The sequence below is a fragment of the Homo sapiens genome, chromosome 4, assembly GCF_000001405.40.
Source record: "Homo sapiens chromosome 4, GRCh38.p14 Primary Assembly".
Lineage (NCBI taxonomy): Eukaryota > Metazoa > Chordata > Mammalia > Primates > Hominidae > Homo > Homo sapiens.
The window spans coordinates 168,741,923-168,769,637 of record NC_000004.12 but is presented as its reverse complement, the minus strand read 5'-3'; the positions used below and the strand labels follow the sequence as shown (position 1 = coordinate 168,769,637).

Below are 27,715 nucleotides of genomic sequence, written 5' to 3'. Positions count from 1 at the left end.
GTTTCCTTTCAGAGTTCCCTAAGCTCCTCAGACAGTCTGGAGCAGAAACTGTCCTGGGACCCATGATAGAGCAGAGAAGAATTGTAGCAGGCAGGGGGAGTTCAAAAGGGTAACGCCAGCCCACGGTTGAGTTCTAGGCAACGGCTTTGAGACCAGCCCGGCCCCATCTGTCACAGACCAAGGCAGAGACACAGAGTTCCCAGACTCTGCTCTCCATCTCAACCTTTCAAGCTTTGCACCTTCAGAGATTCAAGCCTGAAATTCCCAATCCTTTCTCCTCTCTCTAAAGACGAGACCTTATACAGATGAGGCAAAGTTTTCCACGTCACTGTGAGGACAGTTCTAACGGATAGCTCCAGGGCAGGCATGTGCACAGATATACTCTTCCAGGATTGTGTGCGTGGAAATCTGATTTATAGAAGCCAGGAGAACAGCTTATTTTTAATATTTGACTGGGATACAATGAATGTTCTTCACTGGAAAAGTCATCTATACACACTCAAATAAAACACATACCGGCTGGGTGGTGGCTCATGCCTGTAATCCCAGTACTTTGGGAGGCCGACGGGGGCGGATCACGAGGTCAGATGGAGACCATCCCAGCCAAATGGTGAAATCCCGTCTCTACTAAAATACAAAAAATTAGCTGGGCATGGTGGTGTGTGCCTGTAGCCCCAGCTACTCAGGAGGCTGTGGCATGCGAATTGCTTGAACCCAGGAGGCGGAGGTTGCAGTGAGCTGAGATGGCATCACTGCCAGCCAAATGGTGAAATCCCATCTCTACTAAAATGCAAAAAATTAGCTGGGCATGGTGGTGTGTGCCTGTAGCCCCAGCTACTCAGGAGGCTGTGGCATGGGAATTGCTTGAACCCAGGAGGCGGAGGTTGCAGTGAGCCGAGATGGCATCACTGCACTCCAGCCTGGTGACAGAGCAAGACTCCATCTCAAAAAAACAAAAGAAAAAACATACCATTCAAATTAGCTGCCATGGCCAGATTTATTTATTTTTTATGTTAGTCTATGCTCTCCAAAAATAAATTGGGTCTATGTGACACATGCTGAATAAAAACAATTTTAATAAATAGATCATATGCATATAGTCATGCATGTAGTATATAAATGTAAGAAACTTTTCTGAAACGAATTGCCCTGAACCTACTAAATAGAACATATCTTTGTTTCTTCCCTCTATCCTTCATCTTGACCTTTATTCCACCGTCTGATCATCCATGTCTTAAAACAAAGTGTTCCAGGTTCAGGGTAATTAATGTGAACATTCAAAGAAGAGCACTCACAGGTAGAGCGGATGTTTTAGCTTTTCCTTTTTTGACACGGCTTTTATATGCTACAGTTTGGACAATAGACTAAAGTTTGCCCAATGATATTGTGGCTCCCAGGGTAGGACTTGATTGTGGTCAGGTGCATCCAATTAATTACAATCTCATGTGTTATAAAAGAGTAGTATCAAAGATCAACAGAAATATAGATAAAAGAACCGGGGATTCCAGTGGAATGCGGATGGGAGAGGAAGTCGGGTAAACTTCACGGAAGAGGTAACATTTGAACTACGTCTTGAAGGATGAACAGGAGGTTTTCCAAAAGGTCAAATGAGGGAGATGAGGGAAGATTCTAGGAGCTTACAGGGAGTATGGAAGTCTGAACCATGGTGGGTATGGATAACAGCTGGGCAATGGTGGAGACAAGGCTGGAAAGATGGGCTGGTGTAGGGGTGAAAGCCAGGCTTGGACTGAGGTCTTCCACTGAGGGTAAGAGGAATGATATAAGATCAGAGGCTGGGCACGGTGGCTCATGCCTGTAATCCCAGCACTTTGGGCGGCCGAGGCAGGTGGATTACCTGAGGTTGGGAGTTTGAGACCAGCCTAACCAACATAGAGAAACCCCATCTCTACTAAAAATACAAAATTAGCCAGGTGTGGTGGTACATCCCCGTAATCCCAGCTACTTGGGAGGCTGAGGCAGGAGAATCGCTTGAACCCGGGAGGCGGAGGTTGTGGTGAGCTGAGATCGCGCCACTGCAGGCCAGCCTGGGCAACAAGAGCGAAACTCTGTCTCGGAAAAAAAAAAAAAAAAAAAATCAGAGACAGGGAGTAAATAAACCTCAGTATGTAAGGAAAACCATGAATGCTGACATTGTTATTAAAAATAATTTACTGGTATTAGCCTAAGTTAACAATGTTATCTCTGGATACTGCAATTTGGGCAGCTATTGTTCAGCTTTCTACATTACTATGCATATATATTAATTGTATAGTGAAAAGGGGGAAATCATTCTATGTGTTTGTCCAGAACAGGGGAGAAGTGGCTGGAGAGCAGGTCATGTGTAAGGGCCTGGTGGCTGTACCCAACCACAGGCACAGTCTGTGGCATGAGATGACGATGGAGGCTGAAATAACTAACGCAAAGGCAAACTTAAGTGAAAAGCAGCACAGGGTCTAGATGAAAGGCAGAGATAGTTGTGGAGGGTTGGGTTGTTACAGTCCCAGTACTTCCTGGGCTCTTATTTGGCCGGTTGTGAAATGTTGCATCCAATTCTAGGGACCATAATTTAAAGAGTTGAGTCTGTCTGGAAGAGGACTGTCAGGAGGAGGAAGATTTCTGAAAGCCAAGTCATAAAAGGAAGATTTACAGTATCTTGAGATGTTTATACTAAAGAAGAGATAACTTACAGGGTCATTGCAGCCATCTTTAAATACTTGATGAGCTGCCACACCAATGAGATAAGACCCATCCTCTACATTTCTCAAAATTAGAACTAACACCAATAGCTGGCAGTTACAGGAGGCCAGTTTTGGCTAGACGTAGAAAAACAACTTTAAATGACCATGTTATTGCTAGAATGACTGAGATCATATCCAACAGCTTCATAGTTGATAAGTGACTCATTCTAAGGCGCAGTGACTTCTCCCGAAGGTCGTTCAGCTGGTCAGTGGAAGAACAAGCACTGAACCAATTCCCATGCCTCCCAATCCTATACTCTTTCCCCCGCATTATGCTGTCTTGCAGCCACTACAGATGCCCATCATGGCTTGGCCTTCTCAGGAAACAGGCTCTCCGTCTCTGCATGTGTCCATTCACAGGCTGGACAACCGCCTGCCTTGGGTGCTCCCAGGGAATGTCTGTGATGGGCAGAATGTTGGAATGGACAGTCCCTAAGACTGCTTTCAAGTCCATGACACTACCATTTGAGTTTTGGGAATTGACCTGAAAATGTGGGTTCTTTCAGGTAGAGCTCTAGTATTCACTAAAGAGAAGTCTAGGAACTTATTATTTTTTAAGTGAAAGCAAGTTTATTAAGAAAGTAAAGGAGTAAAAGAATGGCTATTCCATAGGCAGAGCTGCCCAGAAGTCTAGGAACTTAGGAGCAATGTAGCAAACTAGGCATACAAAAAAGGTGGAAAAAACTTCTCAGTACCCTTTTCCAGTTTCTTAAGAACCTATTGTGGTTACTATTGGTATTATTGCGTTGATATTATCACTCCCACACCTCACATTTGGCAGGATTCAGGGGTGTGTTGGGTGGGGAAGAAAATCTTCCTGCTTGGGTCCTTACTCTGCCAACCAGAAACTGTGAAATCCCTACAGAAAGGGACTAAGTCCATATGGGTGTGCCCAGAGCCATGGCAGAAAGCCACCTGGACATGGTCACAGAATAGATTATAATAACATTCAAAGCATTTTCATTCATTTTGGCCTATGCCAAGAAAGACACACCCTCTTCTCTTCCTCCCAACCCCTACCCACCACACTTAACAAAATCCACACCCCCATGAGTAATTCAGCCATTTATTTGGCCCACAATCAGAGGTAAAGGGCTGAATTGCTGACCTCACTAGTACATATCCAGATCCTGAATCTACACTTAAAAGAATGTATGGCACAGGATTTCCCTCATTACCACTGAGCAGCAGATGACAAATTCATTAATTAAAAGCTACTTTCTGGCTCCTGGTATGTCTGTTCTTTGGGAAAGAGGTTACAATCTGTGGCAAACAGTAAGTTAGCTTATAAAACCGGAACCCAGTTCTGCAGTGTGAGCTGGCTCTGAACTTCTTGTCCATGAACGTGTAGCTAAATTAAGACCACAGTGTGAAGTGGGTGACAGTGGGATGTAATATCACCTTGGCTCTGAGGTCATCCCATGCTCCCAAGTACCCATTCTGACTTGCATTACCTTGAGTCCTCTTTGGATGGAATTTCCAGTACATTCCTACCCTTGTGTTCCCTTTCCCTATAAAACGCAGCAGTTCCTAATCTCTCATGTCCTCTGGGCCACGCTCTCTGTCTCTCAAGATGGCTACTCATTATTTAGCAATTTTCTCCTCTTCTTCTTCTACTCTGTTTTTCCTTCTCCCTCCTTCAGCATCATCGCTTCCATTTACTAAACCTTCTCTATTTTCAAATATTGTGCTGTATGTTTTGCATATGTGATCTCATTTGTTCATCATTCTTTTTATCTTCATTTTTCAGATGATGGCAATAACTTGCCCAGGTTAAAGCTAAGGACTAGAGATTAGATTCAGACTAACTTTTTCTGATTCCTAAGCCTGATAACCATCACACTGTAAAAGAAGACCTAGAAGGGAGGCTACCTACTACAAAGAAATCATGTTCTTTCCTGTTTATATTGGATATGGTATATTGGGCAGTGTATAAACCCTCGATTCAAATGAGAAAAAGTTATCCGATGCAAAAGTGAGGCTTTAAGTGAAGCTCACTCAGCATGCTCTGACCAGGAGGAGGCAATGGAAAGAGCTGACAAAGGTGTTGTTTATTGACACCTGGAGCCAAGAGAGGTGCGGGAACCAAAGGAGCAGGTTAGAGAGAAAGGAAAACTTGCTTAGAGATGGTACGGTCATCTCTAAGCAAGTCTTTGAGATGAATCTCAAATGATGAATACAGATGAATCTTTGAATCTGAGAAGAATCTGAGAAGCTGTAAGGCTTTTTGCCTAACGCATGGACACCTGTTAGAAAGGGTTTGGAATAAACATACTGAGAGGGATTTTTTCTGAGCCAGAAAAAAAAAATCTCTAAAAGTTGGGCACAGTGGCACACATCTGTAGTCGGAGCTACTCTGGAGGTTGAGGTAAGAGAATCTCTTGAGCCCAGGAATTTGAGGCCGTAGTGTGCTATGACTGCACCTGTGAATAGCTATTGTGCTCCAGCCTGGACAACATAGAAAGATCCTGTTTCTAAAAAAATTTTTTTAAATGTTCCTAGGGGCCAACATAGGGTGAGTTTTCCAGCCTAGAGGTGATTTACTTATAAAATATAATTTATATCAAAATATCATATGTAATATAGAAATACATTACTTATAGGAAAATGATAGAAATTGGTCCTGTATTAAATTATGTTCTCTCAGGTCAAGTAACAAGGGTCCATTATTCACTCCTCTGTTCATTCATACGTTTATTCATTTTATTCGTCTCTGAATATTTACTGAGCACTCACCATTGACAAAGTCCCATATCTATAAGAAGACATATAGTAAGTATACTCTCTAAAAGAATTTTTTTCTTTAAAGTGGTTTCTTTTTCTTCCCATATTTATATCCGTGGCACTCTGATATCCACAAGGACGCTGGTTAATATTACTGCAGTAAATATTTATAGGTGAATAAAATGAATACACATATGAATAAATAAACAGAGGCATGAATAACGGACCCTTGTTATTTGACCTAGAAGAACATGATTTAATACAAGACCATGTGGGAGAGGGCTTCTAAGGCTCTGAGGCTCGCTTGGGGAGGAAACAGGCAAAGGTCTGTGGGAGGCCTGGTCACTCCTGACCTGATGGAATGGGAGTTGCATTCATTTCTTTTTGGTTCTGGATTTCTGAACCTGATGCTGATCTAAAACAAAAACCATGGCCAGGGTACAATGGCTCCATGCACTGGTGTTCATGCTGTCTCTATCCCAGAGCAGCCCTGAGGTTCTTAACTCACTCAGAGTAGAAGTCAGCTTGTCCCACCTCCTGCTGCTGTGGTACCAGGGCAGCATCTCCAGGGAAACACCTTCTGCTCATCTCCTAGTGTCTTTTCTGTAAGTGTGTGGCTTAAAAAACACTCAGTCATCTACTTCATTTAAATACCTTGGACACTGTGTGGCCTAAAAGTGCCATGTGTCTTCAGATCTTACTCAACCTCTTACTCCATGTGAGGCTTGGGGCTGTGGAACGGCTGTGAACCTGTTTCCTCACAGGTGGAAAGGAGATAATGCCACCTGCTTAGCAGGGTTCTTGTGAGAATTAAATGACAATGAAATGGAAGATTCTAATTAGAGCACCCGGCACATAGTAGGTACTCTATGGTATCTGAAGATTGGGTCTAAATTTCATAGAAAGACACTGAAATAATTTCATAGATTAAAACAGTGTTGTAACTGATTTCAAGCTCTGAGATTAAAAATTTATCAAATTCTGTAGAGAATGGCATTTTTAAAGTTATACTTTACCTTCTGGGATACACGTGCAGAATGTCCACGTTTGTTACATAGGTATACATGTGCCATGGTGGTTTGCTGCACCCATCAACCTGTTATCTACATTAGGTATTTCTCCTAATGCTTCCCTCCCTTTGCCCCCTACCCCAACAGGCCCCAGTGTGTGATGTTCCCCTCCCTGTGTCCATGTGTTCTCATTGTTCAACTCCCACTTATGAGTGAGAACATGTGGTGTTTGGTTTTCTGTTCCTGTGTTAGTTTGCTGAGAATAATGGTTTCCAGCTTCATCCATATCCCTGCAAAGGACATGAATTCATCCTTTCTTATGGCTGCATAGTATTCCATCATGTATATGTGCCACATTTTCTTTATGTAGTCTATCATTGATGGGCATTTGGGTTGGTTCCAAGTCTTTGCTATTGTGAACAGTGCTGCAATAAACATACGTGTGCGTGTGTCTTTATAGTAAAATGATTTATAATCCAATGAGCATATACCCAGTAATGGGATCGCTGGGTCAAATGGTATTTCTGGTTCTAGATCCTTGAGGGATCACCACACTGTCTTCCACAATGGTTGAACTAATTTACAATCCCACCAACAGTGTAAAAGCATTCCTATTTCTCCACATCCTCTCCAGCATCTGTTGTTTCCTGACTTTTTAATGATCGCCAGAGAATGGCTTTTTCTTTTTTTTTGGGATAGGGTCTCACTCCAGTCGCCCAGGCTGAAGTGCACAGGCACAATCTTGGCTCACTGTAACCTCAACCTCCCAGGCTCAGGCAATCCTCCTACCTCAGCCTCCCCAGGAGCTGGGATGACAGGCACATGCCACCATACCTGGCTCATTTTTGTATTTTTAATAGAGATGGGGTTCCATTATGATGGCCAGGCTGGTCTCAAACTCCTGGACTCAAGCCATTTGCCTGGATTGGCTCCCAAAGTGCTGAGATTACAAGTGTGAGCCACTGCGCCCAGCCGAGAATGGCATTTTTATGTGTTTTAAGTTCAGTAATGTGTAAATGCTCAATAAATGCTTGCAATTATCACATGAAGCAATTTAAAATAATCAGAATTGTATGTATGAGTCCCAAGTTACTTCGCAATGTTTATGGACTATTAAAAAATGAATTTTTAATGGATCCCTAAAAATAGACTTGTCGTCCTTTCTTTTCTTCCCTTATAAATGAAAACCACAGGGAAATAAGACTGAGTTTGGAGAAGAATAAGAGAGCATTACAAAGTGATAAAACTTAAACATGGTTCATTAGGAAAGAATGACTGAAATTCTAATCCTGTGCAGGTCCAGGATTATGAGGGAAGCAAAAAGAATGCCACTGACACTAGAATAGAATATTTCCTGCCGGGCACGGTGGCTCACGCCTGTAATCCCAGCACTTTGGGAGGCGGAGGCAGTGGATCACTTGAGCCCAGGAGTTTGAGATCAGCCGCGGAAACATGGTGAAACCCCGTCTCTACCAAAACAAAAAACTACAAAAAAAAAAAAAAAAAAAAAAAAAAAAAAACAAACAACAACAACAAAAATAGCTGGGCGTGGTGGTGTGTGCGTGTAGTCCCCACTACTCAGGAGGCTGAGGCAGGAGAATCGCTTGAGCCCGGGAGGCGGAGGTTGTAGTGAGCTGAGACTGCACCATGGCACTCCAGCCTGGGTGACGGAGAGAGACTCGTCTCAGAAAAAAAATTCCCAAAGCCACTTTCTAGCTACCTTACAAAGAAAGGTGCCATATATAATATATTTCATGTAAATCCTGTGGATATGACTTTAACTGGAGGGAAAGAATCTCCGAGTTTTACATGCTAATAAGCCAGAGACTCCAGAGTAGCCCTACAGCGGACCACAGGAACACAGGGGACTCATTGGTGAAACTTCCAGTTGGAGAAATGCTGAGCCAAAGACAGAGGCTTTGGAAAACACTGTGGGAAAAATATACTCCATGGAAATGTGTGTCTTAAAACTTTTCCGTATGAAAAACTAAAAATATTTCTTCCTCCACAGCAGCGTTCTAATATATAAGTAGTTTAAGAACTACTAAGAAGGAAAGAACAACAGAGATTTTTGTCTTTGGTTCAAACTTAACATTGATAAACACTTTGACTTGCAACTCAGTCCTTGGGTTGCAAGAACGACTGAGAACAAAAAATGCATCGGACATTTCTAATGAGGCACATTTCTTTTCCTTGAGATGGTACTTCCTATTTCCCTGTAGCTTTCCATCTGCTGAGGTTGAGCCATCCATACTTCTTGAGAAGGGCAGAACTCGATGGATAACAAAAAAACCATTGTTCCATTTTGACATCAAAATAGATTTTGAAAGTTACAAGAAAAACAATAGGCATAAGTGTCTAGGTTTCAATTTCAAGGACCAGGTACCTGAAGGAGAAAACAGAAAAGTCTTTTCTTGGTTTCCCTTAGCTGGACATTCAATATCCAGAATCAATCTTTGGACTTTGAAGCCAAAGAATTTTCCAGCATGCTCTTGGGTGAGACAGATGTTAGACATGGGGTTTCTCTCCACAGAGGGAAGTAGTAAAAATCCTGGATTGAGGGAATATTTTTTAGGAGAAATTTGGAGGGATGAGACTATGGTGAAATTGCTACTTGGGTTCCTTCTGAGGCACCCGGTACGCCCCTACTCCCTTGTAACTCACGAGAAAGAGAAGAGATGAAAGAGATCATAGAAACCTCATAGATTTGAGGGGGCAAATGAAAATCAGAAAAGTCCCATGCTGCAATTTGGTATTTGGAAGTAGGTCACCGAGCCCGGAGCCAAAAGGAGGTAGTCACAGTAGAGTAACCAAGGGGCTGGCTGTGTTGAGGCCTCCCCGCACCCACTGCCAGAGCCGGGAACTAGGGAGGATCACAAGTTCACAAACGCTCCTGTGGCTGTGAGATGAGAAGGCCAAAGAACCTGACAACCCTGCAGCCAAGATGAGGAGGGCAGAGTCTGTACAGAGACTGAGGCTGGAAGGCAGAGGAGATTTGCAATGAGGACAGAGGCTGACACGTCAAACACAAGGGGAAGTGCCATGTGGAAACGCCAGGGAGGGAGAGAGGCCTCATGCCTTGCAGTTGTGACAGCACATAAATTTTTTTTTTTTTTTTGAGACAGTCTCTGTCGCCCAGGCTGGAGTGCAGTGGTGCCATCTCAGCTCACTGCAACCTCTGCCCCCTGGGTTCCAGCAATTCTCATGCTTCAGCCTCCCCAGCAGCTGGGATTACAGGCGTGAGCCACCACCCCTGGCTAATTTTTGTATTTTTAGTAAAGATGGGGTTTCACCATGTTGGCCAGGCTGATCTCGAACTCCTGGGTTCAAGCGATCCACTGCCTCCACCTCCCAAAGTGCTGGGATTACAGGCATTAGCCACCATGCCCAGCAGGAAATACTCTATTCTAGTGTCAGTGGCATTCTTTTTGCTTCCCTCATAATCCTGGACCTGCACAGGATTAGAATTTCAGTCACTTTTTCCTAATGAACCATGTTTAGGTTTTATCACTTTATAATGCTCTCTTATTCTTCTCCAAACTCAAAGTCTTATTTCCCTGTGGTTTTCTTCTTCTCACAGGTTCCTCTTTCCCCAAAGGAACAAAGAAAGGATGGATGGGTGGGGTCCTTTGAGGCTGGATATGGTAAATGCTACAGAGATTGAGTTAACCTGGAAAAACTGTGGTTTGAAACAGGAAGTGACTCAGTTTCCTTGAATAGGTGAGTGAGGTCTAGGTACCTTCCTGCCAAGTAGAGCAAGTTGAATTCATATTTTATAAATAAAGGTGCTTTTCTGCACATGAATGGTACTGTGCATTTTAAAATCCTACTATACACGAATACTTAGGGGATGATTGAACTGGAAAAGTGGAGAAAGGGTAAGATTGGTGGGGTCAGTATAATGGAGCATATATTGTTTCTATATATATATATATATATATATATATATATATATATATATATTTTTTTTTTTTTTTTTTTTTTTTGAGATGGAGTCTCACTCTTGTCACCCAGGCTGGAGTGCAATGGCACGATCTCGGCTCACTGCAACCTCCGCCTCCCGGGTTCAAGTGATCCTCCTGCCTCAGCCTCCTGAGTAGCTGGGATTACAGGTACCTGCTATCACGCCTGGCTAATTTTTTTTTGTATTTTTAGTAGAGACGGGGTTTCACCATGTTGGCCAGGCTGGTCTTGAACTCCTGACCTCAGGTGATCCATCCGCCTTGGCCTCCCAAAGTGCTGGGATTACAGGCATGAGCCACCATGCCCAGCCTTGTTTTTATACTTTTAATCTAAGAAATCCATTTGCACAGGCCCAGCCCATGGATCTGTGAGTCTAGCATGTAGTATTTCTTGGTGAGAGAAACTAGGGATTTCAACTATGCACAAGTGGGGGATGTGGGAGGGGGAAAAAGAAAACCATTCTAAAACATTTAAAATTTACTGTTCGTGGTTACAAGTTTCCTTAGGAGACATAATATTTTTTTTTCTCTAGTCTAAAAAAATAATTTGGACTAACCTCAAAAAAGCTGGGTTTAATGTTTCTCAGACTGTTTCCAAGCAGACTAAAATACCAACAAACTCATATCCACAGGGAGAGGTTTATGGTTCACCAAGTTTGCATGATTCATGCTGAAGAACCTACACGCCTGAGATGCATGGATGTGCCTTCTGAATGCAACGTGGGGAACACACACACCCAAGCAGTGGATTCTTTAGAAGGGCTGCCTGACGTGGAGGGCCACTGTGGAGAAAGTGGAGTCACTGAAAGGAAGACAGGAGAAAGAGGACAGGCAGCATTTCACATTCATTTTGGATCTGTATGGGAAAAGCATTCTGGTAGCAGCTTTGGAAATTTGAGTTGGATCAATGTCTGAGCCAACAGTTTCAGATGCTTATTCAAATCCTCTTCAAAGCAACAGCTCTTGAGCTTGAAAAGATGAGTTTTAAACATTAAAAAAAAAATAGCAGGAAGGAGCCATCAGGATAGCTGGGCCAACCATGCTCAAACTGTCAGAGTTGGAGAACTAATTTAATACAAATGAAAGAGCATTTTAAATGGTCCCTATGATTAAATATGTTATTATTATTTTTTGAGATGGAGTCTCGCTCTGTCGCCCAGGCTGGAGTGTAGTTGCGTGATCTCAGCTTGCTGCAACCTCCAGCTCCCAGGTTCAGGCGACTCTCCTGCCTCAGCCTCCCAGATAGCTGGGATCACAGGCATGCGCCACCACACCCAGCTAATTTTTGTATTTTTAGCAGAGACAGGTTTCGCCATGTTGGTCAGGCTGGTCTCGAACTCCTGACCTCGGGTGATCCTCCCACCTCGGCCTCCCAAAGTGCTGGGATTATAGGCGTGAGCCACCCCACCCAGCCTAAATATGTTAATTTTTATGAAAAGGCTTTGTAAATTCTAAAGTGGTATAGTGACACCTGTTACTATTGCCGTTGTCATTTTCACTTAGTCATCATGCCGCCCAGCTACAGCAGCCCAGAGGTGATGTGTCACATACCTCACTGTTGTGGCCCTCTGGCCATGAGGTCTAATTACAGATGGACATGGAACTGTCCTGAGATTTCGTTCTTTCTGTCAGAAAATAATCATAATGCTCATTTGAATCACAGAAATGGCTACAAGTAAACTAATAAATGAGAGTTGTTCTCATAATAGATTTAAATTATTTCTTAACGTTTCCATTGTCATCTCAAATCATTACATGGGCATTGGATACAAATGATGCTAGCACCCTCCCTAGTCAGTAATGACACCATCATATTTAGGACATCAACAACCCGAGTAATGACTCTTTTTCACAATTTAGCCTTTCAGGCACTCACCCTAGGATGTTTTTTTGACTTGGCAATGTAATACATTGGGATTTAGAAGTTATCTAAAATTTTTCACCTTGTAGATAAGAAATCTGAGGAAATCAACATTTCCAGCTGGGTACTGTATCAGTTTTCTGTTTGTCCTCACAGCTAATTCCTTGAAACATCTGTTTGTATTTCATGGTGTCTACTTTCCTACCTTTCATTCTTTCAACACACTTCACTCAGGCTCTGTCTCCGCCCCTTCCTGGAATGTCAACCAGGACCTCGTCTTGTCCAATTCAAAAGATTATTCTCGGTCCTCATTTGTTTTGGACACTCTGTAGCATGGATAAAATGGATCACTCATTTCTTTTCTTCCTGAAACATCGTCCTCATCTGGAAACTCTTCTGGGCTTTCCATCTTACTGGGTACCCCTTTTCACCTTCGGCCTCTAATGCTAGAGTGCTTCAAGGCCGGTTCTTAGAACTTCTCTCTATTTACATTCACTGCCTTAAGAGACAGCAAATAGTCTCATGGCCTTAAACACAATTTCTCCTGTGGTGACTCTCAAGTTTATAGCTTGAGTCCAACATCTTTGCGATTTGTATTTCGAGCTGCCTACTTGACATTCCCATATGGAAATGTATAAACACACCTCAAACTTAACCTGGCCACAGATCTCTCGGTTCTCTTCCACCTCCCAAATTGCTCTCCCTTACTCTTCACCACGTCCATAAATACCACCTTTCATGCAGTTCTTAGACCAAAACTCAATAGTTAGCCTCAATCCTTCTCTTTCCCTTACATCCTGAGTGCTAGCCATCAGCAAATCCCATCATTCATGTCTTGAAACCTCATCACTACTTTATTTTTCAATAGCTGTCTTTTATTGCATTATTAAAATATCACAAATAGGTCTTAGGAATTATCTGACATCTTGTTTCTGTAGCTGTACAACTCTTAGATTTTACTCATCAGCCTGCTGAACTGTCCCTTTTTCAGAGACATAGATACCATCCAAAATGTTCTGATATCCTGGTTTTTAGCTGTTGTGGTTTGCTGAGTCAAAGCAGCTGAATTTGAAACAAGTTCAATGTCATTTCCTTTAAGGATGAACTCATCTTTCTGGGCTTGGGATATTGAACAAGCAACACCTGGGCTCACCCGAACCCTGCAGATATATTTTTCGCTCAAGAAAGTTCTGACTTCTACAATAGAGCTATTCTCCTGCATAATGACATTGATGGGGAAGTGAGAACACAGAGACCTCATCTTGTCACAGAAGCCCAGTATAACGCCCTTGATCATCTTCTGTGCATGACTACAGATAGCACGCATGGCAGCCAATTCCCATCTTCTCAGCATTTGTCAATCTGGAGCCTCTGCTTTTTCTTTCCAAGGAGCCCGAGTTCTATACTGACGTGACTGAAGTCCCTCTGCAGGGTCCTCTAGGGCCTTTCACAAGAACTGTGCCCCTTCAGAGTGATGTCGACATTTTCTGGAATGTGGACAGTCTGATTACTGAGAACAGCCTTCATTCTTGCAGCAGATGCAGCTCCCATCACTTCTTATTGCCTCCACTAACTACTTCCACCCCACAAGCCACCATGGTTTCTGGCCTGAACTACAGTAACCCTTCAAGGGGTCTTGCTGGCTTTCTCGCTACCTCCAGACTATTCTTCATGCAGCTGCAAAGTGTGCTATTTAAAAAATTAAATTAGATCACATAACTTCCTTGCTTGGAATTTTCTTGTGGCTTCTCATCATGCATTGAATAGACACCGAAGTCCTTACCCGGGCTTGCAAGTTTCCTGTTTATTTCTCCAATCTCATCTTCTACTGTATCCCCCTTCCCCATCATGCCCTATGTACTCTGACAGCCTCTCTCATCTCTTACTCTTAAGCTCCCACATGCCAAGCTTCTGTTCACTCACGGCTTAAAAACGTGATCTTTCCCCGTTAGAAATGTTCTTCCCCCAGATTTCTGCATGGTTTGCTCTTTCTATATAATTCAAGTCCCTGCCCATATTTTACTCCCCTGATCCTCCATCTAAATTAGATCCCTCAACTTTGCAGCCATTGTCTATCCCTCTACCCTGCCCTTTTTTTTTTTTTTTTTTTGAGACGGAGTCTTGCTCTCTCGCCCAGGCTGGAGTGCAGTGGTGCAATCTCGGCTCACCGCAAGCTCCGCCTCCCAGGCTCATGCCATTCTCCTGCCTCAGCCTCCCAAGTAGCTGAGACTACAGGCGCCCGCCACCACGCCTGGCTAATTTTTTTGTATTTTTAGTAGAGACGGGGTTTCACCGTGTTAGCCAGGATGGTCTCGATCTCCTGACCTCATGATCCGCCCACCTCAGCCTCCCGAAGTGCTGGGATTACAGACGTGAGCCACTGCGCCCGGCCACCCTTTTCTTTTTAGTACTTAACAATATCCCACATTATATTGTTTTATACTTGTTTTCCTATTAACTGTCTCCCAGACTAAAATGTAAACTTCATGAGGGCAGAACCTTTGTTTGTCTTGTTCATTGTTCCATCCCCATGTGTGGAATAATGCTTAGCACAGTTGAGCACTAAGCAATGCACACTAGGCATTCTTTGAACATCTGTATAGTGTGTATTGAATGAATGTTTAAGGACTTGGAGCCAAACACAGAATAGAAAGATGGGAATAGCACATTTTACTTTGAGATACTCCATATCTCGGTTGAATCCTGTTTTTATCTAAAATCACACAATTGTTTTTCTTCAGACTGTTCCCATATACAAATCATCACCATGTAATGAGCTTAAGAAGCACCAGAATGGAAAATAATAGTCAGCATAATGTAACAGTATTTGAAAAGTAATATTTGGGAATCCACAATTAGGATCTTATCTCAGTTTTGTTCTGGAAGATGTCAACAGCAATTTTACTGTATAGCACTGAGGAACTTGCATCCACATCAGCTCATTTGAATAAACATCAATCATTACCCTAGGCATGAAATAAACCATGTATCAAAAGGAAGTTAACTAAAAGGTATACTCATATATAATCATCTTAACTAAGTAAGGATGACTAAAACTTTGAACACACACAATGGAAGAGCACTGATATTTTGCCAAAAAAAGTTATCAGGAGATGAGGCTCCTGAGGTATAGATTAGCAGTGATTTCTTATAGGTTTTGTTACACATTTTCTCTAAATAACAAAGAAGGAAAGTTTGCAACCTTCTTCAAATTCTACAAGGACAATTACTAGAGGCTCTAAATACTCAAGGGAGATAACATTCTTATTTTAAAAAGCTCTGAATTTGTTATCCTTAGATTTCTGACTTTTCTTTTAAAGTATTTGTATTATTGTATACTATTGCATACCTATTACATAGTATGTACTTGTTGCATAACCTATTACCTCAAAATTTATTGGCTTAGAACAACAATAAGCATTAACTGTCTCTTATGGTTTCTCTGAGGCAAGAATTTGGCAGTGGTCTAGCTGGGGGGTCTGGCTCTGTGTCTCTCGTGAGTTTGCAGTCAGGATGTTGACCAAGGCCGCAGTCAGCTAAAGGCCTGACTATGGCTGAAGGATCCATTGCCAAGGTGGTTCGGTCACACGGCTGGCAAGTTGGTGCTGGTCGTCACTGGGAGGCCCCAGTTCCTATCTGCATGGGCCTCTACACGTGATGAGTGAGCATCCTATCAAAATGGAAGTTGACAGAGAGGGTGCACGTAGGAAGCCACTGTGCATTTTTTTAACCCAGCCTTGGAAGTGACACACTGTCACCCCCACTACACCCTGTGAGTTACACAGACCAACTCTGAGTCCATATGGGAGGAGACTACAGAAAAAGCATGAATACCAGGAGACAAGATTCATGGGGCCATCTTGAATGCTGGCTAGGGCGGAGTTGGTATGGGTTCATTCTTCTCAAATCCCTCCCAACTCAGAAGCAAGGGAAGAGGAGGAGAGGGTCGGGGGAGAGAGAGAGACAAAGGGGTGGGTTTGGGGGGTCAGGAAGCAGGGGAAGGAGGGAGGGAAGAAGGTTAGTGACAGAAATGTTGAGGTATCTAAACTTGGGGCCAAAATGGGTTCTCAAATGTTAAAAGAACTAAAAGCCTATATACCTCCCTACTTTCTCCTTGTACTTAAATGGCATGTAAGGTGGGGATTAGTTTATTGATATTAAGAGGGGAGAGTCTTCTCTAGCATTTGCTGCTTGTGAGTAGTCAGGTGGTTGCTATATTTCCTCCAAGGATAAGCAATGAGAGTTTTCATAATGTCAACTGAGATATGTCAAAATCCTTTCTCTTGCTTGTTCGCTTTGCCATTGTCTCATAAATGTACTCTTAATATAGTTTAGCTTTTTTTCACCCCATGTAAAAGCTTTGGTCACAAGTCTAGGCTGCCTCCTCTTTCTTCTCCTCCTCTTGTTTCTCTTCTCTCTTACTCTTTTCACTCTCTAAATTTCTCCTCAAAGTTATTTTGTAATTATTTATACTATAAGTTTTAAAAGATTTTAGGTACTGGAAATAATAATAATATACATTGGGAATTTAAGTAAGTTTTGTGGTCACTAAAAAGTAGCTTCAAGTTATGGGGGTCACCAGTAGATATAAATGGCAAAAAAAAATTACTACCATATTTTCAAAGTATATAGATGCCAATGATATCATATGTATGGAATAGTTATCAGGATCATTTGAAAGTGTGTAAATGTTCTCTGTGGAAACAGAATAAAAAACGTAAAAAGGAAACACAATGCCACCTAATCTCAGAACACAGAACTGTACAACAGACTTTTAAAAAGGTACAAATCTAGAATCATCTTAGTACCCGCACTCCTGCATAAACACCTTGGCCAAGATAACCATCTCTATTCTATGGAAAAGCAACATCTGCCTTTTATCAAGAAAGTTATGGGAACTGATTAGATGACTGCAAGGAATGAACATAACTCTAGCATGGTATTTAAGAAATAGACTTTTTGGTTTGTTTTGTTTTTTAGGCGGGGTCTCCCTCAGGCTGGACTGCAGTGGCGTGATCTCTGCTCACTGCAACCTCAGCCTCCTGGGCTCAAGTGATCCTCCCACCTCAGCCTCCTGAGTAGCTGGGACTACAGGCGCATGCCGCCAAGCCCAGCTAATTTTTGGACTTTTTTGTAGAGACAGAGTTGCACCATGTTGCTCAGGCTGGTCTTGAATTCCTGTGCTCAAGCAATCCACCCGCCTCGGCCTCCCGAAGTGCTGGGATTACAGCCGTGAGCACCCAGCCTACAAGAAATTGACTTTTAAGTTTGAGCCTGATCTTGTGAATTCCTACATTTGGCAAGGGGGACTGAGTGTTCGACAGAGCCCGGATCTGTTATAACATCCCAGCTCTGACTCACTCCAAGCAGCCTTTCATGTTCTGTGTAATTCTCAGAACAGTGTTTAGGACAATCTTATTTCATCTCCCTTGGTTTTGTGAAAATGACCAGCCTTCCCATGCTACTGATTAACATGGAATTCCTTATGTCCTGTCCCTCTACCCACTCTTTTTCTAGTATTCTAACCACTAAAATCACAACCAAAGATGGAGACTATTTATAAATAACTACAGGAATGATCCAGTGTTTATTTAGTCTACATTTGCTAGCAGGTTACTGTCCTACCGAATGAACATGATACGTGTGCATGCTAACCTCCTGGAGATGAGGTTAAACTGTGGAGTCCGTGCCCTGGTGTGAACTGTGTTAAGAAATGTTAATACTTCCAAGTTGATATTAAGAATAGCTTGATATTTATTCAGTAATGACTCTATTAAGGAAAGTGAGATTTAGCGACATTAAGTTTCTTGCTCCAGGTCACACAGCCATTAATTGGAGATGTCAGGCATGGATCTCAGGGCTATCTGATTGCAAAGCTGCTATGACAGGCTATTGCTCTCCCAGTGTGGAAATCTACACTGGATAGATTTTAGTGTGTCCCAATACCTAAAATTAATTGCTTTTATAATTCATCAAACCTTATGTTAGCATATATTATACTGCCGGAGAGGCTTCAAAAATATAATATGTGGACTGGGCACGGTGGCTTACACCTGTAATCCCAGCACTTTGGGAGGCTGAGGTGGGCAGATCACCTGAGGTTGGGCGTTTGAGACCAGCCTGACCAACATGGAGAAACCCTGTCTCTACTAAAAATACAAAATTAGCCAGGCATGGTGGCACATGCCTATAATCCCAGCTACTCGGGAGGCTGAGGCAGGAGAATCGCTTGAACCTGGGAAGTGGAGGTTACGGTGAGCCAAGATTGTGCCATTACACTCCAGCCTGGGCAACAATAGCAAAACTCCATCTCAAAAAAAAAAAAATACACACGCAGACACACACACACACACACACATATATAAAATATGTGATCTCATGAATGTAACATCTGTTTGCTGAGTTTCTGTTACCTTCAGTTACCAACCAGACAGAGAGACAAATCATCTATCCAAATAATGGTAAAGTAAACCGGAAGTACAATAATAAATGGGCACTAAAATGGAGAACAATTCCAGTTAGAAGTATTAGGAAAGTCTTTCTGGAGAAGATATTTGAGAAGGGCCTTAAGGCATAACTAGGGGATGGGGACAGGAGGCCACAGAAATAGTGTTTCTGTCAAACCCAGCTGAGTAGAATAACTTTTTTCTTCTAAACTCACTGAATTTTTCTTGCAGTTGGAAGAAAAATCTATCTTTGATTTCAACTTGGTAACTAAGACTGTAGTCAGTGACTTTTTTTCAAAAGTGCTTCATGTACAAAGAAAAAAGCATACTAAATAGTGGCCAATTTTGTTAAAAAATATATATATAATTTCTGCAACATGGTGAACATATCCTAAACCACAAGTCAAACCTTTGTAGAATCCCCTGGCCTTCAGTGTAGACAGAACCTGTGACTTGTTTTTAACCAGCAGAATATAAAGGTGATAGGAAAATGTGGTACATACACACCATGAGATACTATGCAGCCATAAAAAAGAACAAAATTTTATCCTTTGCAGCAACATGGATGTGGCTGGAGGCCATTATCCTAAGCAAATTAATACAGGCACAGAAAACTAAGTACCACATGTTCTCGCTTATAAGTGGAAACTGGCCAGGCGCATTGGTTCACGCCTGTAATCCCAGCACTTTGGGAGGGTGAGGTGGGTGAATCACTTGAGGTCAGGAGTTTGAGACCAGCCTGGCCAACATGGTGAAACGCCGTCTCTACAAAAATACAGAAATTAGCTGGGTGTGGTGGCAGGTGCCTGTAATCCCAGCTACTCAGGAGGTTGAGGCAGGGAGAATTGCTTGAACCTCGAAGGTGGAAGTTGCAGTGAGCAGAGATATTGCCACTGCACTCCAGCCTGGGTGACAGAGCGAGACTCCAACTTGAAAAAAAAAAAAGTGGAAACTAAGCACTGGGTACACATGGACATAAAAATGACAACAACAGATGCTGGGGTCTATGAGAGGAGAGGGGAGGGAGGGAGGGGCTGAAAAACTACCTATTGGGGTACTATGCTTACTACCTGGGTGACAGAATCATTTGTACCCCAAACCTCAGCATCATACAATACCCCCATGTAACAAATCTGCACGTGTACCTCCTGAACCTAAAATAAAGGTTGAAATTATCATTATTACTGTTATTGAGATGGAGTTTCAGTCTTGTTGCCCAGGCTGGAGTGAAATGGCATGATCTCGGCTCACTGCAACCTCTGCCTCTCGGGTTCAAGTGATTCTCCTGCCTTAGCCTTCTGAGTATCTGGGATTACAGGTGCCCATGATGCCCAGCTAATTTTTGCAGTTTTAGTAGAGATGGGGTTTTGCCATGTTGGCCAGGCTAGTCTCGAACTTCTGGCCTTAGGTGATCCAACTGCCTCGGCCTCCCAAAGTGTTGAGATTACAGGCGTGAGCCACTGCTCTTGACCAATTTTTTTTTTTTTTTTAAAGGTGATAGGAAGTCACTCACTCAATTAGTTACATTATGTAGTGTGTTAGGCCGTTCTTGTGTTTCTATAAAGGACTACCTGAGACTGGGTAATTTATAAAGAAAACAGGTTTATTCATCTCATGTTTCTGCAGGATGTACAGGCATGGCACCAGCATCTGCTCAGCTTCTGAGGAGACCTCAGGAAGCTTTTACTCAAGGTGGAAGGTGAAGCAGGAGCAGGCAGGTCACATGGTGAGAGCAGGAGCAAGAGAGAGAGAGTGGCAGGGAAGTGCCACACACTTTTAACGAGAACTCACTGACTATTGCCAGGACAGCACTAAGCCATAAGGGATCTGCCCTCCTGCCCCAAGCACCTCTCACCAGGCCCCACCTCCAACACTGGGGATTACATTTCAACATGAGATTTGGCAGGGACATATATCTAAACTCTGTCACAGGGTAAAGGTGATGGAAGGTCACTCCCATGATTATGTTATATGACATATATGACACCATCTTAGCAGACTAGAGAGAGACTCCTGCTGGCCTTGAAAGCCTTGAAGAAGCAGCAAATTGCCACACTGTGAACTGCCTCTGGAGAGGGCCACATGGCAGATAACTGGAGTGGCCTCTAGGAACTGAGGGCAGCCTCCATTAAATGGCCAATAAGAGACCAAGGCCCGGTCATATAACCACAAGGAAATGCACTCTGCTAATAACCTAAAGGAGCTTGGAAGCCCATTCTTCCCCAGTTGAGCCTCCAGATGAAAATACAGCCTGAGTGACACCTTGATTGCAGCCTTGTGAGACTCAAAGCAGAGGACCCAGCTAACCTATGCTTGGATTCCTGATCCACAGGAACTTACGAAGCTTATTAAATGTGGGGTGTTTTAAGCCACTAAATTCATGGTAATCTGTTATACAGAATAGGAAACGAATACACCATAGAAGTCAACTAAGCTTTTATTCTCCCAAAGGATTTGATATATTCACCCCCTATATTACTTAGAACTGACATCCAATAATCTGGTTATGCTTGTCTGATTTGTCTGTACCAGTGGTTAGAAACACCTGGTGGACTTGTTTAAATACATACAGATTGCCAGGTCCCACCCCAGAGTTTCTGGTTCAACTGATTTGGGGTGAGACTGAAAATTTGCATTTTCCACAAATTCCTAGCTGATGCTGATGTTGCTGGTTTGGAGGACCACAGTTTTAGACCCATTGATGTCTACTAATGTGTTTTGTAAATATTTTTGTGTCAATTTATATCTCTAGGGCAAAAGGACAAAATATATATTTTTCAAATATTTGATTATTTAGAATACTGAAACCTTTGTGTCAATATGCTAACATTTTCTCCTGTTCCTCCGTCCATTATCCATATTTCTCTCTTCTGAAGAAATAATTACAAATAAATTCAGAAAGCTGATCACAACGGGGAATGTGAAGTGGGAATTGATAAGAAAAAGGATCCGACTTTTCCCAATATTTGAGTTTGACTTGGGAGTAAAGACCCTGGAATACTACCATAAAATGGGCAAAATATTTATAGCAAAAATAATTATTCTGGGAGTTACAATTGCTCAAAATGTTGGAATTCTTGAAGATATTTACAGTATCTCAGCCGCAAGATGTTAATAATCTATCTCTAAAATTCTCTTAACGCAAAGCTAACGTTTTGGTTGGGAAAGTTGCTTGGCTTCCCTGAGACTAGAAATTTTCTTTATAAAATGAAGTGAACTGACAAGGTGACTGGCAGGTCCCCCAACTCCATATCCCATGGCTTTACGAAGTCTTGGGTCTCTTTCTCTACAAACAATTAAATTTCCCTGCCTTCTCTACATATGGTGAGCATATAGCCTGAATTTCCTTGGACATCTGTAGTTTCAAACATACTGTCTCATTGTCATAGCATGTGTCTGAAGTTTTAACTCTGGAAATAGTTATATTGACATTTTTCATTGTTAGGAATAATACCTTCAACTGGAACTAGGCTACATATCCTGTTTGCCTTTACTGTTCTCTCTTGATTTCTATGCTTTTGCTGAGAGCTGGGCATGCTTTTCCCACAGGAGTGAAAACTGACTCTTAGCCTGCAGGTTGGACTTCCTTGCCTACTGCCTCAGCCTCAGCGTAATGTCCTAGACATGCTGTCTTCTCCCACATGCCTCTGTGGTGGCAAGTGATCTACCCTTTTATGCAGCTGATTAGAGTGTGGCACCAACACAGTATGAGAAACCTCAGAGCACAAAAGATAAATAGTAGTAATTACAGCTATCTGCTTTTAGGTACCTATTGTGTACCCTTTTCTATCTATACACTAAAAAATGTGTAGTAAATAGAATCCAACTTAATAAGAAACAGGCATCATTTCAGATCTCAGCTCCAATGTCTCTATCAGATGGACTATTTTAGCTCTGGTACTTTATCGCTGTCTTTCAGGAATAAATTTCTCTGGACACATCTCCAACCTATGCATGGTTATCTGATCATGCAGTTTTCTCACTTGGAAAAATGTCAAGTACCTTTTCTTAGATCATACTCCTATGTGATTTTCATTAATGTCTTCTCAGTCATTCAACTATTGTCTCAACCCCTTTTGATAACTTCCCTCTTCTAAGCAGGATCTTTACAACTTTAAATATTTCCAAGTTATTATCATTTATATCTCTTGGTCCCTTGATGTATCAACTTGTTTCTTATGTTTCTAGTTCTGGGAATGAATGTCTAGGCATTTAAAAATAATAACTTTCACAAGAACCATGGTTCATAATTTTTTCCGCCCAGGGAAGAAAATTGGTACAGTACTCGTAAGTTAACCAGAATGGAGAACGGGCTTGTTATTCACTCAAACATTTGTTCAAATGTACAATGCACTAAGGACTGTGCTAGCTCCAGAGACACAGGGATGAATACGACAGTCCTTTTGCTTAAGGACTCATATTCTGTGTCACACGGGTTTTCTGTCTCAGGTGTTACTACCAGCACTAAGGTTTGAAGTCCCTCCTCTTTTTTTTTTTTTTTTTTTTTTTTTTTTTTGAGACGGGTTCTCGCTCTGTCGCCCAGGCTGGAGTGCAGTGGCGCAATCTCAGCTCAGTGCCAGCTCCGCCTCCCGGGTTCACGCCATTCTCCTGCCTCAGCCTCCTGAGTAGCTGTCAAGTCCCTCCTCTTGATGAGGAAAAGAGCTGAATTAGGGTAAGCTGATTATCCAAGCAGGCTTTATAGAATTCACATATCTATATTTTATGTTTAAGTGGGGGAGGGAAAAAAGGAAATGATGTTGAACTAGAGATTCTGATTCAAGGTTGTGAAAGACGAGAAAAGGTGGTAAGAACAGGGACATTGTATAGGCCAGAATAAGGTGGAGCTCAAATCTGATTTTATTTTGGACACATGATTTCCCGACCTTTGTGTAGTCTGATGTAGCAAAACTTAATGAATAAATTTGAGGGGTCAGACTCAACATTCTTGAGTACATGTAGCAGATGCATTTAAAGCACATTCAGAAAATAATTTTTATTTTAAAATTGGAAAAGTTTTATCCATCCCTCCTCTTTTCTCCTGCATATAGTCCTCAAGCACCCAAAGCTCACCCATTAGTTTGGATCATTTAGATCACATGCAAACTAGCGCAGGTAGTTTTTCCACCAAAATGGTCACTTAGAATTCTTTAAGAAGAATATACTTAATTTTAGGAGTTTACTATGTCTATACTGGAATGGGAAAGTAATGAAAATAATAAATAGAAGAGAACTCTTAACACATACTTCCTAACACACTAGAATGTGTTGTAAAATGAAAATACCATTAAACTCTAATGGGATTGCAACCATACATAAACAAAATCCAAAATAAATTTAAGTTACCTATATTACCTTGATGTACAACATGCTCTTTTAAAGTGTTACATCCCTAACTATTCCAGTTGAAGAAGGAAAAAAAAAAGTGTTACATCCCCTTTTTAAGAGAATGAATCATTATTTGCCCCCCCCTCCCATCTCACAGACTCTAACTAATGATGTCACCACAGTCTGTACTTAAACTAATATAGATTGGGGTACCCAATGAAGTATTAACGACATATGAAGGTGATTCAAAGGGCTGTTGTAAGAGGAATGCTGAGCTAGGAGGCTTGGGTCCTAGGCTCCAGCTTTGATGATCATGATAATGATGACGAAGATGAATAGTTGCTACTAATTTTTAGGTACTTACTGAGTGCCATGCATTAGGCTATGTGCCTTACATGAATTTTCTCTAATGTAATCCTCTTAACAGTCCTATGGTGCTATTATTACTTTTGTTTTATCAATAAAGCTAAAGCTTAAAGAGTCTAAGTGACTTATTCAAGGTCATAGCTGAACTAAAGAGGTAGAGTCAGGATTCCAGCTGATGCCTGACCCCAAAGCCTATACAGATGCTCCTTGACTTAGAGTGGGGTTATGGCCCAATAAACTCATCGTAAGTTGAAAATATCATAAGTTGAGAATGCATTTAATACGCCTAACCTACCGAACATCATAGCTCAGCCTACCTTTAATGTGCTCTGAACACTTCTATTAGCCTACAGTTGGACAAACTCATCCAACACAAAGCATACTTTATAATAAAGTGTTGAATATCTCATGTAATTTATTAAATCCTGTACTGAACATGACAAACAGAATGGTTATACTTGAAATACAGTTTCTACTAAATACGTATCACTTTCACTCCATCATAAAGTTGAAACTTCATAAGTTGAATCATTGTAAATTGGGAACTGTCTGAATTGTCCTCTTTGCCACCACTAGACTGTGTCTTCTGAATCACTTAATGCCTCTTGTCCTCCTAAAATAACAGAGGGGTTGGACCAGGTGACCCCTGAGGTTCCCTTTGGCTTTAAATTTTAGAAACCCTTTGATGCCCTGTTGGAAGACCATGAGTTCTGTTTTTCCAGACACCTTGTCTTGGCTCTGTTTTGTTCTGCTCTATAGCCTAGAGACACAGAGAGTAAGTCTGTGACCTCGAGGCTGTGGAGGATGTGCAGGCACCCTGTAGATTGACCATGGTACAGAGAAGAAAGAACTGGCCCAACAGAGATACTTTAGTCTCACTGATCTATATTCCTAAGCAAGCTGACTCAATACAAACAGAAGCAGAGAACAAAGGGGGCCCCCAAGGAGTCATCTGTTAGCAGCACTCTCTTCCTGGACACGCACGATTCTCACACTTTATACACCACACTCACCCCAGAGGTTAGGCTCTCTCCTCGGTTATTTGGAGAGGGAAATATCCTATGACTGAAGTGACTGCCCCAGAGTGTTGTCCTCTGGGCTGAGAGCTTTCATGAGGACAGGACTTTACTGGCTTCTAGCATCTGTTTGCTCTCCCCCGACCCCTTTTCCAGGGAAGGCAAAGGCAGAGAACTCTGTGGAGCTTTCAGACTTAGATTTTTTTCTGGGATTCCCCTCTATCTATAGCAAAGATTTCTCAGACAGTGGAAGCAAATTCCCATCTGTTAAAATTTGGAAATTTCCAAATCCCCCTTATTTATCTTGTGCTTGTTTTGGAAAATCTGGGAGATGTCCACAGATAGATACATGGCGGTCTCCTGAAGGATGTTTTTAAAAGATTGCAAAACTGAATCACAGTGAAAGTCAAACTGCAAGCAAGCTCTTATTTTTCGGCTCCATGCCAGACCTGACCAAACAAAGCAAGCAGAAAATAAACAAGGACATCAAGTTAAAAGACCCAGTCATCAACCTCATTCAAACTGTTATCCATAACAGAGACCAGGGTGAGCATCGCCAACCAAAGTTCTAAGTTTAACTTTAAGCTACTTACAGACCTAAAATCATGGTACTGCTCACTTAGTAGGAATTGAACAAACCCATCAAATCTTACATTATAAGTTGGAATTTTGAAAAAAGGAGTGCCTTTTCATAGAACTGCCTAGTGATAGGACAGGAAACATCATCATTAATGTCTTTTATCCAAATCTGTAGTGTCCCCATTAAAAAAAAAATCTCGAAAGTAATTGAACCATATTAAGTTTCTGTCTTAGACACTGTGCTAGTTGCTGGGGATTAAACCATGATTGAGATCTTCATAGATATCATGTTCCTTCAGAATATGATAGCCGCGTGGTGTAATCAAGCATCCAGATGGATGTCACTCAGTGTGACAATGAATTCAATCCACCCATTAAACAAAGAAATATTTATTGAGTGTAGATTATGTGCCAAACACCAGGGCAGGGGCTGGGGCAAGGTAAAGAATAAGATATAACACAATCTCTGGTGTCAGAGAACCCTGAGAGAGTAATTGCGTGAGAGTTATCACGCAGTAGAAATTTCTACTGCTGGGGAGGACACAGAAGGCAATCTATTCTAGTCTATAGCTCCTGGAAGGCAGAGAATGGCGTTTAAACTAAAAGATGGTAGGAGGTGGTCGGGCAAATGGAGATTACAGAAGAGAATAGCAGGAGGAAGGCCAGGAATCCAGATGACCTGAATCACTGAAAATCAAAAGGAGGGAGTGAGATTGTCAAGGCATTCTTTGTAGTCTGAAGGAAATCCAACTACATTCAATAAATTACTAGAATTCTTTCCTTATTTAGTGCTAAACAGAAAATATACAACTGTCAATCAGAGCTTATGATTAACATATGTAGGGTTAACATAGTGAATATGATTGCCACTAGATGCAAATACACCCATCATTTCAGTTGAACTGTGAAACGAACTAGATCTTTTGAAATACTGAAAACTACTAAAAAATTCTGATTATTGATTTTCTTTCACCATAGTTGGGAAACACTGTTCTAATAACTTAGTATCTGGAGCAAAAGAACTCCTGAGTCCGGTATGTTCATGGAACAGAAACTGTTCAGGTCCTCAAAGCACCAGGCATTTGACCTTCTAGCCAAATGAAGTACTTCTATGAAAATGAAAGAACATCTTAATACTATCATAACACTTTAAACAAACCTGGCTTTAAAACACACAGTCTTCTCCTCTCAGTGACTTATTTCAAATGTACTTATTCCTTCCCTGGGATAAATTTGGCCTCTGTATCAACCCAGAGGTCAGAGAGCTAAGAACACCTCCCCTTTGAGGGATAAGCAAAAGCAGGAGCTGAGAGAGTAGACACAGCATAGGTCAGATAAAAAAGATGGATTTGTTCATGATGCACTGGGTATGGAACTCAAGAAGGACGGAGAGATGGACAACACTTGCCAGTGATGCAGAGAAGCCACGACCTCTACATTAAAATCCATAAAGCCCTCTAAGTAGAAAAATCCAGTTGAGCACCATCCATATGGCTTCCTCAGAAACACTCAGAATAGCAAAGCTCCCTAGATGCTGGGCAGCAAGAGCACAGGTGGTGGATCTGCCAGCTTTTGCCCGCACTGGAAAGTCAGAAACAAGTGGGCTTTCTCTAGTGAAGCTGGGACATGTCAAAATGCAGCCACTTCCCCTTTTGTCCTGGTCACAGGGCACTGGGCTTTGGCGTGCT

General features: G+C 42.0%; 1 protein-coding gene and 1 pseudogene across 17 annotated transcripts in view, besides 1 other annotated feature; both read right to left on the bottom strand.

The window, feature by feature from the left end:
- PALLD (palladin, cytoskeletal associated protein) overlaps nucleotides 1-27,715 on the bottom strand; it is a 431,390-nt gene that overhangs the window by 158,804 nt on the left and 244,871 nt on the right. The gene's annotated exons all lie outside the window — the stretch shown is intronic.
- Nucleotides 11,244-11,744: an enhancer, noted in NCBI's record as "H3K4me1 hESC enhancer chr4:169679045-169679545 (GRCh37/hg19 assembly coordinates)". NCBI's record gives its function as "activates a minimal SCP1, AML or CMV promoter by ChIP-STARR-seq in naive H9 embryonic stem cells {active_cell/tissue: H9 hESC(naive)}" and the evidence as "EXISTENCE:reporter gene assay evidence [ECO:0000049][PMID:30033119]".
- On the bottom strand, nucleotides 13,157-13,840 carry RPL9P16 (ribosomal protein L9 pseudogene 16; annotated as a pseudogene).